The sequence below is a fragment of the Homo sapiens genome, chromosome 10, assembly GCF_000001405.40.
Source record: "Homo sapiens chromosome 10, GRCh38.p14 Primary Assembly".
Lineage (NCBI taxonomy): Eukaryota > Metazoa > Chordata > Mammalia > Primates > Hominidae > Homo > Homo sapiens.
Window position 1 is genome coordinate 119,630,085 of NC_000010.11, and position 20,106 is coordinate 119,650,190.

The window sequence follows — 20,106 nt, forward strand, 5'->3', positions numbered from 1 at the left end:
GGGAGGCCCAGGTGGGTGGATCACCTGAGGTCAGGAGTTCGAGACCAGCCTGGCCAACATGGCGAAACCCCATCTCTACTAAAAATACAAAAATATTAACTGGGCATGGTGGTGGGCACCTGTAATCCCAGCTACTCAGGAGGCTGAGGCCGGAGAATCACTTGAACTCGGGAGGCAGAGATTGCAGTGAACCAAGATCGTGCCATTGCACTCCAGCCTGGGTGACAGAGTGAGATTCCATCTCGGAAAAAAAAAAAAAAAGAAAAGAAAAAGTAAGAAAAATTCTGCAAGTGATTCCCATTACCCTTGGGATAAATTCTCACATCCCTGTAGAGGCTCCCCGGGCCTCGCCAGAGGTCTATTCAGCATGCGCCTCCCTCAGTGGCCTTGTCTCATTCCCTGAAGGTTCCTTAGCACAGACCTTCACACCTGCAGTGGCCATCGTTTCTTCCCACACTCTTCCTGCCAAGCTAAGTCCCACTCATCCAACAAGCCTCAGCTTACATGTGACTTCCTCAAGATGCCTTCCTGACCTCCCAACTTGGAGGGTTCCCTCCATATTTAATTTCTCAAGGCATCTTATTCTATTCCTTCTTAGTGTTAACAATTGCACCAAAATTATTATCTGTATAATTTGAGTGTCAGAGTTTGTGTTGTTCACAGAACATCCCCAGAGTTTGGTGTGGTGTCCAGCCCATAGTAGGCACTCCATAAATACTTAAAGATTGGGTGGATGAATGAGTGAATCAATGAACAAATAGTGGCATTACCAGCCTGAGGCCTATAACCGACTCTGCAAGCACCATTCTGCAGAGCCTTGCTTCACTCGGCCCTTTCTTGGTTTGTGGGGGCAAAAGGACACGCTGTTTAGAACCCAGCAGGCTGAGGACAGGCACCCCCATCACAAAAATCAGAGTCCCAAGTCCTTTTAGAAGCTGAGACAATCCAGTCTTCTGCTCTGTTAATAAGGCCAGTGACCAGGAGCTCACTCCTACTTGCTAGCAAGTTCTTCCCAATATCAGCCTTAATCGTGTCTCCTTAAGAGTCCCCACCCATTTGTGAGATTTTTATTTGTTTGTGACTTCTGTATTTTCTAATTTTTATTTATTTATTTGAGACAGGGTCTTGCTCTGTTATGAAGGCTGGAGTGCAGTGGCACAATCAGGGCTTACTGCAGCCTCGAATTCCCAGGCTCAAGTGATCCTCCTGTCTCAGCCTCCCAAGTAGCTGGGATTACAGGTGCATGCCACCATGCCTGGCTGACTTTTTTTTTTTTTTTTTTGAGATGGAATCTTGCCCTGTTGCCCAGGCTGGAGTGCAGTGGTACAATCTCAGTTTACTGCAACCTCCGCCTCCCGGGTTCAAGTGATTCTCCCACCTCAGCCTTCTGAGTAGCTGGGACTACAGGCATGCGCCACCACGCCTGGCTAATTTTTTTGTATTTTTAGTAGAGACGGGGTTTCACTACATTGGCCAGGCTGGTCTCGAACTCCTGACCTCAGGTGATGGCCCACCTCGGCCTCCCAAAGTGTTGGAATTATAGGTGTGAGCCACTGTGCCCTGCCAGCTGGCTAATTTTTAAAAATTTTAATTTTATGTAAGTACAGGGTCTCCCCCTATGTTGTCCAGGCTGGTCTCAAACTCCTGGACTCAAACAATCCTCCTGCCTTGGCCTCCCACAGTGTTGGGGTTACAGGTGTGAGCCTCCACATCCAGCCATTCAACTTTCATAGAGTATATATAAATTGCTTTTGTAATTAGAGAGAAAGCAATACATTTTCTAAAGTTCTAACTGCAGAATCTAGTTCTGCCCTTTATGTTAACAATAAAGGCAAAAAAAGAGAAAGAACCATATTACTGGCCTCCTCTCCCACATCATGTTGGCAACTGAGTCCAGCACAAGCACACCTTGGTCTTTGTGTTTGGACTTGCCTGCCATTTGCACATACAGTGAGCTGCCACTAACTAGCAAATGCTTTCCCCAGTTTTCAAAATGTGCCTTTACCAGCCTAGTGTTGAGGCCTGAAATAGTCTTGGGGCTACCAGTCCTAACCCTGAGGGCACAGGCTGCCTCGCCAGGTATAGAGCCCTTGAGGGCAAAGATTGCCTGCTCCAGTTCAAGAGTAGGTCTTGGCATCCTGTGGCCAATCAACAGTACAGAATAGCTGGATGAGTAACCCACAGGTTTTTGTTTTGTTTTGTTTTTTGTTTTTGTGACGGTGTCTTGCTTTGTCACCCAGGCTGGAGTGCAGTAGTGCGATCTTGGCTCACTGCAACCTCTGCCTCCCGGGTTCAAGCTATTCTCCCACCTCAGCCTCCCAAGTAGCTGGGACTACAGGCACACGCCGCCACGCCTGGCTAATTTTTTTGTATATTTAGTAGAGACGGGGTTTCACCATGTTGGCCAGGCTGGTCTCAAACTCCTGACCTCAGGTGATCCTTCCACCTCAGTCTCCCAAAGTGCTGGGATTACAGGCACGAGCCACCTCACCCAGCTGTAATCCACAGATTTTGAATGAAATTAATCTGGAACAGAGGAACTTCAGAAAATCGTAACAAGTTTTCCCCAGGTGCAAGTGCATTAAGCTCCATGCCTATACCCTATAAGAACAACCCTAAAAAGGGCCGAGCGTGGTGGCTTATGCCTGTAATCCCAGCACTTTGGGAGGCCGAGGCAGGTGGATCACTTGAAATCAGGAATTAAAGACCAGCCTGGCCAACATGGTGAAACCCCATTTCTACCCAAAATACAAAAATTAGCCAGTTTTGGTGGCACTGTACTCCCAGCTACTTGGGAGGCTGAGACAGGAGAATCACTTGAACCCAGGAGGCGGAAGTTGCAGTGAGCTGAGATCTTACCACTGCATTCCAGCCTGGGTGACACAGTGAGACTCCATCTCAAAAAAAAAAAAAAAAAAAAAAAAAAAAAAAAAAAACCCTAAAGAAAGCAGCATTATATTGAATATTGACAATGGAAAATAAAATAAAATAAAATAAAAAGAAAGCAACAACAAAAAGGCCAGACCAAGACTTGTTAGATGATAAGCTTCCTCTATTCAATTGTTTAATATTTTATTTTTTATTTTTTTATTTTTGAGACGAAGTCTCGCTGTCGCCCAGGCTGGAGCACAATGGTGCGATCTCGGCTAACTGCAACCTCTGCCTCCCAGGTTCAAGCGATTCTCCTGCCTCAGCTTCCCAAGTAGCTGGGATTACAGGTGTGTGCCACCATGCCTAGCTAATTTTTTTGTATTTTTAGTAGAGATGGGGTTTCACCATGTTGACCAGGCTGGTCTTGAACTCCTGACCTCAGGTGATCCACCTGCATTGGCCTCCCACAGTGCTGGGATTACAGGCGTGAGCCACCATGCCTGGCCTAAATTTTAAATACATTTTCAAACAAGCGTATGTGTTATATATCATTTATGTACTTAAAAATTATTAACATTTAAAAAATCAAAATATAAGGCCGGATGTGGTGGCTCATGCCTGTAATCCCAACACTTTGGGAGGCTGAGACAGGAGCATTCCTTGAGGCCAGGAGTTTGAGACCAGCTTGAGCAACATAGTGCTTGAGCAACCTCACCTCTATGAAAAATAAGAAAATCAACTGGATGTGGTGGTGCACGCCTGTAGTCCAAGCTACTCAGGAGGCTGAGGCAGGAGGATTACTTGAGCACAGGAGGTCAAGGTATAGTGAGCTATGGTTGCACCACTGAACTCCAGGATGGACAACAGATCAAGATCCTGTCTCTAGAAAACAAACAAACAAACAAACCAAACATAAATAAGGAAAATGGTGTTAAATATTCTTTCTACTTACTAAGAACAATGTTTCTTTTCATTAGTGAAAAGTAATAAAGTTAAACCAGTTTGGTCTGTCAGGGTAAACAGCTGCTCCCTGGTAGAAGAATGTGATCTTTAGACACAAACAACAACAACCAAGAAAATCATTAAACTGAAGCCAAGTTTCCAGAGGGACCCAGGGGAAGTAATGAAAAGAATCCTTCAAAATGTAACAACACATTTTCTATAAAATGGAAATGGCTTTGGGGAAATGTTCTGAGGGGTTTGTTCACCACAGCTTGGGAAAAGAAAAACGTGTTTTCAAGCACAGCAAAAAGAACCTGTGTCCAGCAGCCAAGAGATGATGCAGAAACACTGGAGTCTGTAAAAGCTTTGATTCTAGAAAACTTTCTTTCCTTTTTTTTTTTTTTTTGAAACAGGGACTTGCTCTGTCACCCAGGCTGGAGTGCAGTGATGCAATCTTGGCTGACTGCAACCTCCACCCTCCATTTCTCAGGCTCAAGCAACCCTCCCACCTCAGGCTCCTGAGTAGCTGGGACTACTGGTATGTACCACCACAGTACACACTCAGCTAATTTTTTAACTTTTTTTTTTTTTTTTGAGACAGCCTCCTGAGTGGCTGGGACTACAGGCACGTGCCACCATGGCTGGCTAATTTTTTGTATTTTTAGTAGAGACGGGGTTTCACCATGTTAGCCAGGATGGTCTCGATCTCCTGACCTCGTGATCCACCTGCCTTGGCCTCCCAAAGTGCTGGGATTACAGGCATGAGCCACCATGCCCGGCCTTTTTTTTGTTTTGTTTTTTTTAAGACGGAGACTTGCTCTGTTGCCCAGGCTGCAGTGCAATGGCACAATCTCGGCTCACTGCAACTTCCACCTCCCAGGTTCAAGCGATTCTCCTGCCTCAGCCTCCCAAGTAGCTGGGATTACAGGCGCCCGCCACCATGCCTGGCTAATTTTTGTATTTCTTAGTAGAGATGGGGTTTCACCACATTGATCAGGCTGGTCTCGAACTCCTGACCTCAGGTCATCCACCCGCCTTGGCCTCCCAAAGTGCTGGGATTATGGGCATGAGCCACTGCGCCCGGCCCAAAAGATTTTTTATAGAGATGAGGTCTTACTATATTGCCCAAGATGGTCTTGAACTCCTGGATTCAAGCAATTCTCCTGCCTCAGCCTTCCAGAGCACCTGGATTATAGGCATGAGCCACCATGCCCACCTGGCCTAGAGAACTAACTAGACACTTCCAGAAGCCAGGAATACCCTATGCTTGCCTTATTTACCTTTGTATTTCAGATCCTACACACTGGCTAACACACAACAAGCACTCAATAAATATGAGGGTCTTAGTTCAAGAGCAAGGAAAGATCTGATAATGTGGCAATAACAATACACTACATTTTACAGTCAGTGGCAATTTAATGTTATTTCATTTCTCAACTCATCTCTGGGCAATGAGATTACAGATGTTCTTTTTTGTATTTTTATGCATTATCTGAATTGTTTACAAGGATGTATTTTGAAATAGAAAATAATAAACTTGACTCCCCATTAGGAAAAAGCAATTCTCATAACCATCATTGCCAGTTTTTTGACACCTTTTGGAAAAGGGTAGGGAATTAATTCTGCCATTGACTATAATTCAGCAGGAGGGCCAAGTGAATTCCTTCATTTCATAATATTTAATCAACACCAACTTGTGTTAAGAATGGAACTAGGTAGGCATGAGGAATGTATATGTGCTCCAAATACCAGCTTATGGCCTAAGGAGAGAGACAGACATTGAACACATACTGCCACTAACAAGTGTCCAGGTGCAACTGTGGCAGCTGCTATGGGAAAGGTAATAGAGCACCTGTGACCCTGAGATTGGTCTCCTGCTTGGGCCTAACTCCATATGTTTGCTCTTACAAATGTGTTTCCCTACCCAGAAGGCCCTTCCTTCTTCCTCCATATAGTCAAACTTGACTTTGCTTTGGAATCTTGCTTAAATCTCTAGTTCCTGTTCAAGGTCTGTCTGATTGGAGGCTTCCTTCGGGTAATGTCAGATAGCACCACCAAGATAATGCAATTCGTTAGGAGTTATATTAGCCAGGGTTTCCCAGAGAAAAAGAACCAACAGGATGTGTAAATATAGAGAGAGATCTATTGTAAGGACTTGACTCACAAGATTATGGAGGTGCAAATCCAAAGTCTGCAGGTTAGGTGGGCAAACTAGTGATTTAGGGAAGGGGCAGGGGCAGTCTGCTGACAGAACTTCTTACCTGGGGAGGTTTGTCTTTGTTCTGTTGAAGACCTTCAACTGATTGGATGAGGCACACCCATACTATGGAGGTCAATCTGCTTTACTTAAAGTCCACAGACCTTTTTCCCGCTTCATAAATCTTTCATTGGAATCAAAGACCACGGATTTAAATGTCAATCTTGGGCTGGGCACGGTGGCTCATGTCTGTAATTCCAGCATTTTGGGAGGCCAAGGCAGGTGGATGGCTTGAGCCCAGGAGTTTGAGACCAGCCTGGGCCAACATAGTAAAACTCTGTCACTACAAAAAAAAAAAAAAAAAAATTAGCCAGGCATGGTGGCGCATGCCTGCAGTCTCAGCTACTTCAGAGGCTGAGGTGGGAGGATCGCTCGAACCCAGGAGGCAGAGGTTGCAGTGAGCCAAGATCATGCCACTGCACTCCAGTCTGGATGACAGAGCAAGACCCTGTTTCAAAAAAAAAAAAAGTCAATTAATGCCATCCAGAAAACGTCTTCACAGAAATATCCAGTATAATGTTTGACTAAACATCTAGGTACTGGGGCCAACTGGACACATAAAATTAACTATCACAGAAGCCTTAACTCCCCAACTAGAGTCTACCATTTTAGAAGGCATGGATCAGCTCTTCCATGTCTTTGAAAGCTTCCATGGAGCCTAGCTGAGGGATTATTGTCAGGAGGTGTTCAAGAAATCCCTGAAGAGGGCTGGGCACAGTGGCTCACGCCTGTAATCCCAGCACTCTGGGAGGCCGAGGTAGGCGGATCATGAGGTCAGACCAGCCTGACGAACATGGCGAAACCCCGTCTCTACTAAAAATACAAAAATTAGCCAGGCGTGGTGGTGCATGCCTGTACTCCCAGCTACTTGGGAGGCTGAGGCAGAAGAATTGCTTGAACTCAGGAAGCGGAGGTTGCAATGAGCTGAGATCATGCCACTGCACTCCAGCCTGGGCAACAGAGCAAGACTCCTTCTCGAAAAAAAAAAAAAAAAAGAAATCTCGAAGCATATAAGAATAGAAGAATGAGATTTAACAGGCTCTCTGGAAGCAACTTTGTGCACCTTCTGGAAACAATAGAAGACATGTACCGGTACCTACTTAAACCTCAGAGTGCAATTCACATGGTGGCAGAGATCCCCAAAGCACAACCCTGATTCTTTCTCCATCCTGAAAACACTGCCCCACACCTTCTAAGACAGTAACGGATTTAGATAGAAATGACTGTCCATTTGGGTTTTAACTTAGCACAGCCCTAGCCAGTGAAGAAAAGACAAAAGAACAAGGCAGAAGAATATTGTGGCCTTGGAAGAAATTCCTGACACTGGTCTCTGACCATCATTTTATGACATGTGTACCTGTTTCAATCTTCATCTTCCTCTCAGCCTATTAAGTCATGCAGCGAGCTCCTACCTCTCACTTCCTTCTATCCCCGACCAAGCTTAAATCAGCCTCAGAGGCTGGAGATAAACCAGGCTCAGAGGAGGGGCCTGGTGGTTTCTCAGTCAATTTGCATTCCAAGCTCAAATTTTCATTTCTAAACCTACAATTTCATTTCCAGGCTTTCCCTTGGTTCCAGAGCTGGCTGCTGCTTAGGCGAGAGTGGGAGGGGGGGGCCTCAGTCAGAAATCTCAAGCAACTGGACCAGAGGTAGAATGCCTCAGGCCATTTTTCAATGCCAGTCCCCATTGTTATGGGTCCCACATCGACCTGGTGCTCTTGTTTAACCCCTTTTGCATCTGTAAAAATCATTTTCATTATCCCTTAGTCCCAGTGGAGAAACAGGCAAAGGATAGGTTCAGACTGTTCGCAGAAGAGAATTCCAAATGTCTCTGAACACATGAAAAGATGCTCAACAGGGGCGAAGTGCAGTGGCTCACGCCTGTAATCCCAGCACTTTGGGAGGCCGAGGTGGGCGGATCACGAGGTCAGGAGTTCAAGACCAGTCTGGCCAACATGGTGAAACCCCGTCTCTGGTAAAAATACAAAAATGAGCCAGGAGTGGTGGTGGGTGCCTGTAATCCCAGCTACTTGGGAGGCCGAGGCAGGAGAATCGCTTGAAACCACAAGGCGGAGGTTACAGTGAGCCGAGATCGCACTGTACTCCAGCCTGGGCAACAAGAGTAAAACTCTGTCTCAAAAAAAAAAAAAAGAAAAAAAAGAAAAGATGCTCAATTACACTCATCATAATAGAAATTCAAATTAAAAGCATAAGGGGAATATATCAGATTGGCAAAGATCAGAACATTAGCTAACACGGTCCGGTAAGATCATGGGGCCTCTTTCCAGCCAGCGCCGAGTGATGGGCATCTCTCAGGACAACTGGCACAAGCGCCGCAAGACTGGCAGCAAGAGAAAGCCCTACGACAAGAAGCGGAAGTATGAGTTGGGGCACCTGGCTGCCAACACCAAGATTGGCCCCCACCACATCCACACAGTCCGTGTGCGGGGAGGTAACAATAAATACGGTGCCCTGAGGCGGGACATGGGGAATTTCTCCTGGGGTTCAGAGTGTTGTACTCGCAAAACAAGGATCACTGATGTTGTCTACGATGCGCCCAATAGCAAGCTGGTCCGTACCAAGACCCTGGTGGAGAACTGCTTCGTGCTCACTGACAGCACACCGTACCACCAGTGGTATGAGTCCCACTATGCGCTGCCCCTGGGCTGCAAGAAGGGAGCCAAACTGACTCCTGAGGAAGAAAAGACTTTAAACAAAAAACGATCTAAAAAAATTCAGAAGAAATACGATGAAAGGGAAAAGAATGCCAAAATCAGCCGTCTCCTGGGGGAGCAGTTCCAGCAGGGCAAGCTTCTTGCATGCGTCGCTTCAAGGCTGGGACAGTGTGGCCAAGCCCATGTCTATGTGCCAGGGGGCAAGGAGATGGAGTTCTATCTTAGGAAAATCAAGGCCCGGAAAGGCAAATAAATCCTCATCCTTTCTGTCTTTGCCCATGGAATAAAGGTGTCTATTGTTCTGTGGCAAAAAAAAAAAAAAAAAAAAAAAAAGTCATGGGGAACGTGCACTCTGAACGCTACTGGTGCGAGGCTGACCTTCCCTGACCTCCTTGGAGACAAATTTGGCAAAATAACTTAAATTTTAAAACGCATTGGCCTGATGATGGAGCACTTCCACTTCCAGGTATTGATAGACCTACTCGTACTTTCTTGCAAAATGACCTGTGCACAAGAAAATACACTGAAGGCCAGGCACGGTGGCTCATGCCTGTAGTCCCAGCACTTTGGGAGGCTGAGGCAGGTGGATCATTTGAGGTCAGGAGTTTGAGACCAGCCTGGCCAATGGTGAAATCCCATCTCTACTAAAAATACAAAAAAATAAGCCAGGCATGGTGGTGCACGCCTGTAATCCCAGCTACTTGGGAGGCTGAGGCAGGAGAATCACTTGAACCCAGGAGGTGGAGGTTGCAGTGAGCCGAGATCATGCCATGCACTCCAGCCTGGGTAACAGAGTGAGACCCTGTCTGTCTGTCTCTGTCTCAATCTCTCTCTCTCTTTCTGTCTCTCTCTCTCTCTCTCTCTCTCTCTATATATATATATACATATATACACACACACACACACACACAATGCAGCATTGTTTGTAATAGCAGAAGATTGGAAACTATCTAAATATCTATTAATAGGAGACCAGTTCAATAAATTAGGAAGTACTGTACAGTCACTTAAAGGAGTAAAGAGGCTCTGTGTGGAGTGATATGGAAAATTTCACAGGAACATTGTTAAGTAAAAAGAGGAAGGTGAATGCCAGTGCACATGGCTATCATTTTACGAGTAGGAAGAACGTGCACATATATGTTGGTAAATGAATGGGAGACCCCCTGGAAAAACACCCAGTAAGCTGGAGACATTGGTTGCCTCTAGAGCAGGGAACTGGGAAGCTGGGGAGCATAGAGGAAGGGAAGTTTCTTTTTCTTTTCTTTTCTTTTTTTTTTTTTTTGAGACAGAGTCTTGCTCTGTGACCCAAGTTAGAGTGCAGTAGCATGATCTCGGCTGACTGCAACCTCCGCCTCCTGGGTTCAAGTGATTCTCCTGCCTCAGCCTCCCAATGAGCTGGGATTATAGGTGCCACCATGCTGGGCTAGTTTTTTGTGTTTTTTTTTTGTTTTTTTTTTTTTTGTATTTTTAGTAGAGACGGGGTTTCACCATGTTGGCCAGGTTGGTCTTGAACTTCTGACCTCAGGCAATCAGCCCACCTCGGCCTCCCAAAGTGCAGGGATTACAAGTGTGAGCCACTGAGACTAGCCGGGAGGTTTATTTTTCATCGAGTACCTGTTATGGGTTGAATTGTGAACCTCCCCCACCCCCGCCAAGTTATATGTTGAAGTCCTACCTCAGGACCTCAAAATGTGAGTGTATTTGGAAATAGTGTCATTGCAGATGTAATTAGTTAAGATGAGGTCATACTGGAGTAGGGTGGGCCCCTAATGTCCTTGTTGAAAAGGGAGAATTTGAGGCTGGGTGCAGTGGCGCATGCCTGTAATCTTAGCACTTTGGGAGGCTGAGACAGGAGAATCACTTGAGCCTAGGAGTTCAAAACCAACCTTGGCAACACAGTGAGACCCCATCTCTATATAAAAAAGAAAAAAGAAAAGGAGGCGGCCGGGTGTGGTGGCTCATGCCTCTAATTCCAGCACTTTTGGAGGTCGAGGCGGGGGATCATCTGAGGTCAGGGGTTTGAGACCAGCCTGGCCAATATGGCAAAATTCTGTCTCTACTAAAAATACAAAAATTAGCCAGGCATGGTGGCAGGTGCCTGTAATCCCAGCTACTGGGGAGGCTGAGGCACAAGAATTGCTTGAACGTAGGAGGCAGAGGTTGCAGCGAGCCGAGATCATGCCACTGCACTCCAGCCTGGGCAACAGCGCGAGACTCTGTCCCAAAAAAAAAAAAAAAGGGAGGAATTTGGACCCAGGCAGTCATACAGGAAGAATGCCATGTGAAAATGAAAGCAGAGATCAGCATGATGCCCAGCAAACTACTAGAAGCTAGGTGAGAGGCATGGAACAGAGTTTTCCCTTGCAGCCCTTAGAAGGCTCCAACCTTGCTGACACCTTGACTTGGACTTCTACAGTCCAGACCTGAGACAATGCATGTCTGTTGTTCTAAGCCACTTAGTTTGTGGTACTTTGTCCCAACAGCCCTAGTGAACTAATGCAGTCTCCTTTGGCACCTGGAGTTCTGTATCATGTGTATACTACTGATTATTGATTTAAAACTTTTTTCAACACAAATGTCTCCCGGAAGCCTTCCCAGATTCACTAGGCTGAGTTAGTTGCTCTGTCTTTTCGGCTCCCACAGCATTTTATCTGTATCTCTGCAATAGCACTTACCACGTTGTAATGTAACTTAACTCTTCACAGGGTTCTTGACTCCACAAAATCATTAACTCCTGAGCACAGAGGCTGAGCCTGTTTCATTCATCATTGTAATTCCAGAGACTGGCATCAAATGCTTGTTGGAGTGAATAAACAAATGGGTAACCAGACATTTTTCACTTCCCTCCTACATTCGTATCATTATTTATTGGTTTTTGGCTTGACAAGCTATCCATTCATTCATGTTTAGTCAGGGTGATATAATTGAAAACTGATCTTAAAGAAGAGGTCAGGAATGAAGGTGGTGACAGAGCCATGCTCTCTCTAGAAGACTCTAGGCGAGAATCCTACCTGCCTCTTCCAGCTTCTGGAGGTTGCAGACAATCCTCAGTGCTCCTTGGCTTACAGGTGCATCGCTCTGATCTCTGCCTTCATTGTCACATGGTCTTCTCCCTGTATGTCTGTGTCTCTGTATCAACATTTCCCTCCTTTTATTTTTATTTACTTATTTTTATTTATTTATTTTTGAGACAGAGTCTTCCTCTGTCACCCAGGCTGGAGTGCAGTGGCGCGATCAAGGCTCACTGCAACCTGCACCTCCAGGGTTCAAGCGATTCTCCTGCCTCAGCCTCCCCAGTAGCTGGGATTACAGGTGTGCACCACCACACCTGGCTAATTTTTTTGTATTTTTAGTAGAGATCGAGTTTCACCATATTGGTCAGGCTGGTCTTGAACTCCTGATCTCAAATGATCTGCCCGCCTTGGCCTACCAAAGTGCTGGGATTACAGGCATGAGCCATCGCACCTGGCCCCTCTTTTTATTTTTATTTTTTTGAGGCATAGGTCTCACTGTGTCACCCAGGCTGGAAGGCAGTGGCATGATACTGGCCCACTGCAACCTCTGCCTCCCAGACTCAAGCTATCCTCCCACCTCAGCCTCCCAAGTAGCTGGGACTACAGGCTCACATCACCACGCCCAGCTAACGTTTGCTTATTTTGTAGAGACAGGGTTTCGACATGTTGCCCAGGCTGGTCTCAAACTCCTGGACTCCAGGGATCTGCCTGCCTTGGCCTCCCAAAGTCCTGGGATTATGGTTATGAACTGGTGTCCTCTTCTTATGAGGACACCAGTCATTGGATTAAGGCCCACTCTAATCCAGTATGACCTCATCTCAATTTGATCGCATCTGCAAAGTAATCTCACATTCTGAGGTTGTGGGTAGATATGAACACATCTCACATTCTGAGATTGTGGGTAGATATGAACTTGTGGTGATACTATTCAATGCAGTTCAGCTGCTCAGCTAGGACTCACCTAAAAAAGAGAAGCAGCAAGAGGTGGAGGGCTGTTTTGCCTTGTGGTTAAATACAGGTTGCAGAATCAGCCAGACCTGGCTTCAAATCCTGGTTTTACCTGCTGGTCAGCTATGTGAGCTCAGGCAAGTTATTCAACATCTCCAAGCCTATTTCCTCAACCATGCAATGGGTTTAATAAAAGCCTGTGCTTCCTAGAGTTGCTGGGTAGATAAATGAGATCAGGACAGTGTCTGATATTAAAAAAAAAGAAAAAAGAAAAAAAATAGCTGAGTGCAATGGCTCTTGCCCATAATTCCAACACTTCGGGAAGCAGAGGCAGGTGGATTGCTTGAGGTTGGCAGTTCGAGACTAGCCTGGCCAACATGGTGAAACCCCATCTCTGCTAAAAACACAAAAATTAGCCAGTGTGGTGCCACACACCCATAATACCAGCTACTCAGGAGGCAGAGGTTGCAGTGAGCTGAGATCCCATCACTGCACTCAGCCTGGGCAACAGAGCGAGACTCCACCTCAAAAACTAAAAAGTAAAAAATAGTTAGCGTTTGATGCTAGAGTCCCCAGTACCATGGTTCCTGCCATTCTTTCAGGGAAGAATGTAGACAGTTAAATAGCTAAACAGGATGGTTTGTGATTAAAGGCCCAGGATGTACCTGCCACACAAGGTCAGAGAGCACAGGGCGACTGGGCTCAAGCAGGCACAGACTTTAACTTTTAATAACAAACAGATGCAAAGTTAGTGCTGCAATCTGAAACTCTGCAGCGAAGCCATATTGATTTCCCCTTCCACCTCCAGCAGGGCGTATTTATAGAGCTTATCATAGAAGTCTGCACAGTATAACCAGGCCGGACGTCTTCTATCCCCCTCAGTGCTAATACCTACTGCCTGTAGCCCTTCTCTCCCAGTGCACTCGACCATCAGGACATTAGAGAGAGGCCATGGCTTCCATCCAGATGGCCCTGGCCTCCTTTTATCTAGGCTGCCCCTAGTGGAAGGGCCCCCTGAGAGGGCATGGCTAGTGAAGGTGTGCATGGCTGCACGTGCCGATCTCTCACAACATCCCAAAAGCAAAAAAAACGACCTGGGATGACCAGCATTTTGCACCGATCAGGGAGAACTGGCTGTTCTCCTATGCTGGCTCTTGTGTTCCAATAGAAATGGATTAAATCACCCAGACGCTGAAATCTTGTGGTTGACATTTTCATTTAAAACTCACCATTATAGCTGGGCTTGAGTCCTCTGTCTGTGACCTGTGCTATGAGTCAGTCAGGCCTGGGCACAGCATTAATAGGGCTGATTTATAATCTTCCACAGCAGCCAGCTACGGCTCCTGTTTCCTCAGCATTGAGAAAAAATCATTCGCACAAAACGTTGTTTCTCAATTCTAGCTTTTTACATTTTTTCCCTTGGTGACAAGTGGGACTAAGCCGTTGATTCACTTATGTTTGAGCTCCTGGTTAATAGCGTGGGATCCGGCGTCAATTGCCACAATTCAAATCCCGCCTCCACAAATCAAGAGCCTTGTGTTAACGTCTCCAAACCTTAGTTGCTTCATCTGTAAAAGGAGAATCATAATAACGCCTACCCAGAAGGCTGCTGAGAGGATTGTTCCAGGCTTGGTTCCTCAGGAAGCTGACTATGAGAGGTAGCAAGCTGGACTTTATTACGGAATTCTCCTAGGAGCAACACAGGAAGCAGGACTGTGCAGAGGGAGAAGCTGAGCTGTGATGCAGTCCCAAAGAAAGCAGCAGTCAACCCCAGAGGGCGCTCTGGAGCCGGGGTAGCCCGTTAGCCCTATCCTGAGTTGGACCGAAGGGGCTGGGCCTCTAAGCCCCTCAATAAATCAGTCACTAGATGCAGGTTGTCCCTGGAGGGACGTGTGACCTTGGGCGAGGCAGTTTTCTTCAGCTGCATCAGTCCCCATAGGTAGCTGAGATTCAGCTTCCTACAGCATCCCCAACAGTAGGTGGAATAAGTCCCTCATCCCTGAAAGTGGATCTGGGCAGCACGCATCACAGCTTCTCCCATAAAAATTAAATGCAGTAATCCACACAAAGCCGTTCACACAGTACCTGGCATGCAGTAAATGTTCAATAAATGGTAGCCATTACAACTATTGTTGCTTTAGTAACTACTGTCTGTCAGGCACCATGCTAGAGGCTGGGGACCCAGTGGTGATTGACAAGTCTGCTCCTGCCCTCATGAAACTCAATCCATGGACACATTAGACCATCAGACAAGCAATTGCAATTCAGTGCAATTGACAGGGTGGCATGGGATGTATAAGGGAGCATGTTATAAGGAAAATGTTTATTTAGAAACAGAGTGCTTGTTCCTTGGTACGGCAAGGAAAAATTAGCATTTAGACAAAAAATTTTTTTTAGCAAGGCAATTTTACTTTCTGCAGAAAGGGTGCTCCTTGCAGATGGAACAATAGCAAGAGCACACTTGAACAAAGAAGGGAAGTAATTTTTATCCTTTATGCAGTTTGTCTCTGCTACTGTGTCCTGTCTCTATTGGCTGGAGCGGGACCTCACAGTCTAAATTAAATCCGACTTGCTAATAATTTAAAACTTTCTTAAATAGGTAAAAGCAACAGAGAACAAAGGAAAAGAGGAAGTTGCTTGCGAAAGGACTTAGAAAAGTAATAATATTTTTAAATAAGGAAGGGGCACAGGCTGCAAGCTGGAATGTGCCTGTGAGCACGTCTAGTACAAATATCTTGGTTAAAGTACAAGGACATAGACTGTACTTATTCTTTTTTTTTTTTTTTGAGACGGCGTCTCGCTCTGTCTCCCAGGCTGGAGTGTGGAGTGCAGTGGTGTGATCTCAGCGCACTGCAAGCTCCGCCTCCCGGGTTCACGCCATTCTCCTGCCTCAGCCTCTCGAGTAGCTGGGACTACAGGCGACGGCCACCACGCCCAGCTAATTTTTTTTTTTTTTTGTATTTTTTTAGTAGAGACGGGGTTTCACTGTGTTAGCCAGGATGGTCTCGATCTTCTGACCTCATGATCCACCTGCCTCAGCCTCCCAAAGTGCTAGGATTACAGGTGTGAGCCACCGTGCCTGGCCAACTGTACTTATTCTTTTATATCTAACAGCTACATAGGACAAGGCTTAACAAAGAGTTACTAGCACAAAGCAAGGAGGCTTGAAGGAAGTTTAGTCTTTAAAAGAAACTATTATTTTTAACATTTATGATTTATTCTTTAACAAGAAGGGAAGCTTCGAAGAGGAAACTTTTTACTTTCTGCAGAGCACCTATTGGGTTGGTGCAAAAGTAATCACAGTTTTTGCCATAATAGAAGGGACACATGACTCAGACCAGGAGGATGAAGAAGAGAGATGCCACAGGTAATACCTGATGATGAAGGGGGGTCAGCCAGGCAAAGAGAGCGGGAGGCCATTGGGTGTTGGAGAGAAGGGCTCTCCAGGTGGAGGAAGCAGGGTGGGCAGAGGCAAGGGCAGGCTGTGTCAGTGCCTGCATGATATGGTGCAGCAAGGCCAGCCAGAGTGCACACCAGGCTGAGGGGAGGAAGGTCTTGTGTACACCAAGCCAAGGAGTGTGGAGTCAACAGAGAGGCATTAAAGAATTCTAGGCAGAGAAGGGGCAAGGCCTGTTTTGTGCTTGAAAGATTGCTCTGGCTACCATGTGGGCAACGAATTGGAGATGAACAAGATTAGAGGCTGGTTTACGTGACCAACTGCTTACGCACACACACAGACACACACACATACACACATACACACACACACACACAAAGATTAGAGTCTGGGAGATCCATCAGGAGGCCGTGCCAAGATCCAGATGACAGGCAAAGGTAACCTGGACGGGTTGGTGGCACTAAAGACAGACAGGAGTTCACAATCAAGGAATATCTAGGAAGTGGAATCCACAGATTTAAGGATAATTAAATGGGCCAGGCACGGTGGCTCACATCTGTAATCTCAGCATTTTGGGAGGCCAAGGCAGGAGGATCACCTGAGGTCAAGAGTTCAAGACCAGCCTGGCCAACATGGTGAAACCCTGTCTCTACTAAAAATACAAAAATTAGCTGGGCATGGTGGCGGGTGCCTATAATCCCAGCTACTCGGTAGGCTGAGGCAGGAGAATCGCCTGAGCCAGGGAGGCGGAAGTTGCAGTGAGCCGAGATCACGCCACTGCACTCCAGCCTGGGTGACAGAGCAAGTCTCAAAAAAAAAGGATAATTAAATGGTGAGGGGCAAAAGAAATTTAGGGTTATGCTTAAGCTTCTGATCTGGGCAGATGAACTCCAGGAGGCCTAAAGAGGGAGTGTCTGAGGGCCTGGAGAAAAGAAAAAGCCACCGAGGACAGACATGATGCTCAGTATTCAACGTGGCTCAAAGCAGCTTCTTCCAGCCAGCTCTCCAAGACTTGTGTCTCTGTTTTAGACAAACCCTGCGGAAGTCCCTAGCGGAGGATAACTCTTCTGCGGTGAGCAGGTCTATGCACACCTACCCTCAAAGGCTGAGGAAACTGAGAAGCTGAAGAAAGAGGTGGACAAATCCAGTTTCTCAGAGAGAAACACTTAATAGGGACTTACAAACACAAGCCATGTCCTGGATGGCTGCAAGACAAGATGGCGGGTCCCTGCACTGTTACCCTGAAGTCCCAGGGCTTGTATACCACAGGGAATTCGCCACAGGCAGGATTTATAGTAAGTATGTGTTTACAGTAACACCAACGTTATTTTGACCGAAGGGTAAGTATGTGAAAATAGAAATCTTAGAGGCATTCCTGGAACGGGTTCATCAGAAACGAACATGGCAGATGAGCATCCAGGATGGAGCTGCTTTAGCCTCCAGAGCAACTGTCAGAAGCAGCTATGTTAATCCCAGAGTAACCTGCTTCCTCCCTGCTGCTTCTTTCAGGGGAAAAATGGCCAACACCACTTTCAGTATTTGTTTGTTTATTGAGACAGAGTCTTCCTCTGTTGCGCAGGCTGAAGTGCAGTGGCGTGATCTCAGCTCACTGCAAACTCCGCTCCCCGGGTTCCAGCGATTCTCCTGCCTCAGCCTCCCAAGTACCTGGGATTACAGGCACCCACCATCATGCCCGACTAATTTTTGTATTTTTAGTAGAGACGGGGTTTCACTATGTTGGCCAGGCTGGTCTCAAACTCCTGACCTCAAGTGATCCCCCCCACCTCTGCCTCCCAAAGTGCTGGGATTACAGGCATGAACCACCACACCCAGCCTCTGTGTTTATTTAAACTGTAGTTACTTAAACTGTAGTGGAAAGCAAATTGAGCAAGGAAGAAGATAGAAATAAAATTTCACTCTGGATTCAATCTTCGATAAACATCAACATTTATTGAATATGGACTCTGGGTTCAGGGCTGCAGACATAAGGAAGCATAAGGCAGACACTGACTAGTGAATTTGGGGGTCTAGTTCCTTCAACAGTAATATTTCCTATGGGAAACTAGTGCACTGACATTCGGGTTTATACACCTGTCTCTAACATGTTTGGTGACCTGCATCAGTCCCTGGGGCCTGATCATCACTGGAGTTACTGGACTCCAAAGCGGATAAGCATACTTTTACAAGTGAGAATCATTCCATTGGAAATGATAGGCAGGCCTCTCTGGCATTTTCTCCAGAAGGAGTAAGCTGAGGGCAGGAAGGGGCAGAGGTATTGACTGGGGTTCGAGGATATTCTCTGATTCCGAATTGAAAACTAGGCCCAATATTAGTTCAAAGCGTTTCTGGGGAAGGGAATGAGTCAGTATGTCTAAAGATCTAAAATGTCACCTCCCAAACATTCTCTCTTTCTGGAACACAGTCTCTCTTTCCCAGGGGAATTGGGGTGCTCATTGACGTTTGTTAAATAAAAGTTATAAGAGGTCACTGTTTTGGACTAAGCTCCTGCATTTGGCCTTAACAAACCCGACGAAAAATCAGAAAGGAGTCACTCATGCTAAAGTTCCACATCACCAAACCAAAACCAAGTTGTTATCTGACTTTCTGAGAAATCAGGAGAGGTGATAGTCTAATTTCCCAAACAGGCTACTTTCGAATGAGGGGTGAGGGTTGGGGAGTGACAGGAGGTGGCTGGGGGCACCAACTCCGTGCAGTCGAAAATCCCTGCAAAGCTGGGCGAGGTGGCTCATGCTTGTAATCCCAGCACTTTGGGAGACGGAGACGAGTGGATCACTTGAGACCAGGAGTTTGAGACCAGCCTGGCCAACATGGCAAAACCCTGTCTCTACTAAAAATACAAAAATTAGCCAGGCATGGTGGTGCACACCTGTAATCCCAGCTACTCAAGAGGCTGAGGCAGGACAATCGCTTGAACCCAGGAGGCAGAGGTTACAGTGAGCTGAGATTGCCCCACTGCACTCCAGTCTGGGAGAGAGAGCAAGAACCTGTCTCAAAAAAATAAATAAATAAAATAAATAAAATAAGAAAAGAAAGGAAAAAAGAAAATCCCTGCATACTTTTTTGTTTGTTTGTTTTTGAACTGGAGTCTGGCTCTGTCGCCCAGGCTGGAGTGCAGTGGCATGATCTTGGCTCACTGCAACCTCCGCCTCCTGGGTTCAAGCAGTTCTGCCTCGGCCTCCCGAGTAGCTGGATTACAGGCATGTGCCACACGTCCAGCTAATTTTTGTATTTTTAGTAGAGTTGGGGTTTCACCATGTTGGCCAGGCTGGTCTCAAATTTCTGATCTCAAGTGATCCGCCGCTTGGCCTCCCAAAGTGCTGGGATTACAGGCGTGAGCCACCATGCCCCGCCCCTGCATACTTTGAATCTCCCAAAACTACCAATAGCCTACTCTTGACGGAAAGCCTTGCCAATAACATGAACAGTCAATTAACACATATGTTGTATATGTATTATATGTATTCGTGCAATAAAGTAAGCTAGAGAAAAGAACATGTTAAGAAAATCATAAGGAAGAGATTTTACATTTACATAAGGAAGAGTAGTACACTTACTACTCATTTAGTGGACGTGATCATCATAAACGTCATCATCCTCATTATCTTCACGTGGAGGCTGAGGAGGGGAAGGAAGAGGAAGGGTTGATTCTCCTGTCAAGGGGTGGCAGAGACAGAAGAGGTGGAGGAGGTGGAAGGGGAGACTGGAGAGGCAAGCACATCGGTGTAACTTTTATTGAAAAAAAATCCATGTACAAGTGGACCTGCTCAATTCAAACCCATGTTAAGGGTCAACTGTACAGTAATCTGAAGTATGTAACCTGATGTTACATTTCTCTCAATCATTTCTCTCTTTCTTTCTCTCTCTTTCTTTTAAAGAGATAGGGTCTTGCTCTGTCGCTTAGGTTGGCATGAAGAGCAAAATCATAGCTCATGGCAGCTTCAAACTCCTGGGCTCAAATGAGCCTCCCACCTCAGCCTCCTG

General features: G+C 46.2%; 1 pseudogene, besides 2 other annotated features; it reads left to right on the forward strand.

Annotated features, from left to right (window-relative positions):
• Positions 4,140-4,340: a silencer, noted in NCBI's record as "peak1112 fragment used in MPRA reporter construct". NCBI's record gives its function as "represses an SCP1 promoter by STARR-seq MPRAs in K562 erythroleukemia cells {active_cell/tissue: K562}" and the evidence as "EXISTENCE:reporter gene assay evidence [ECO:0000049][PMID:32103011]".
• Positions 6,820-7,043: a silencer, noted in NCBI's record as "fragment chr10:121396416-121396639 (GRCh37/hg19 assembly coordinates)". NCBI's record gives its function as "represses an EF-1alpha promoter that drives an FKBP-Casp9 reporter gene in an ReSE screen in HepG2 liver carcinoma cells {active_cell/tissue: HepG2}" and the evidence as "EXISTENCE:reporter gene assay evidence [ECO:0000049][PMID:32094911]".
• On the forward strand, positions 8,349-9,050 carry RPS8P4 (ribosomal protein S8 pseudogene 4; annotated as a pseudogene).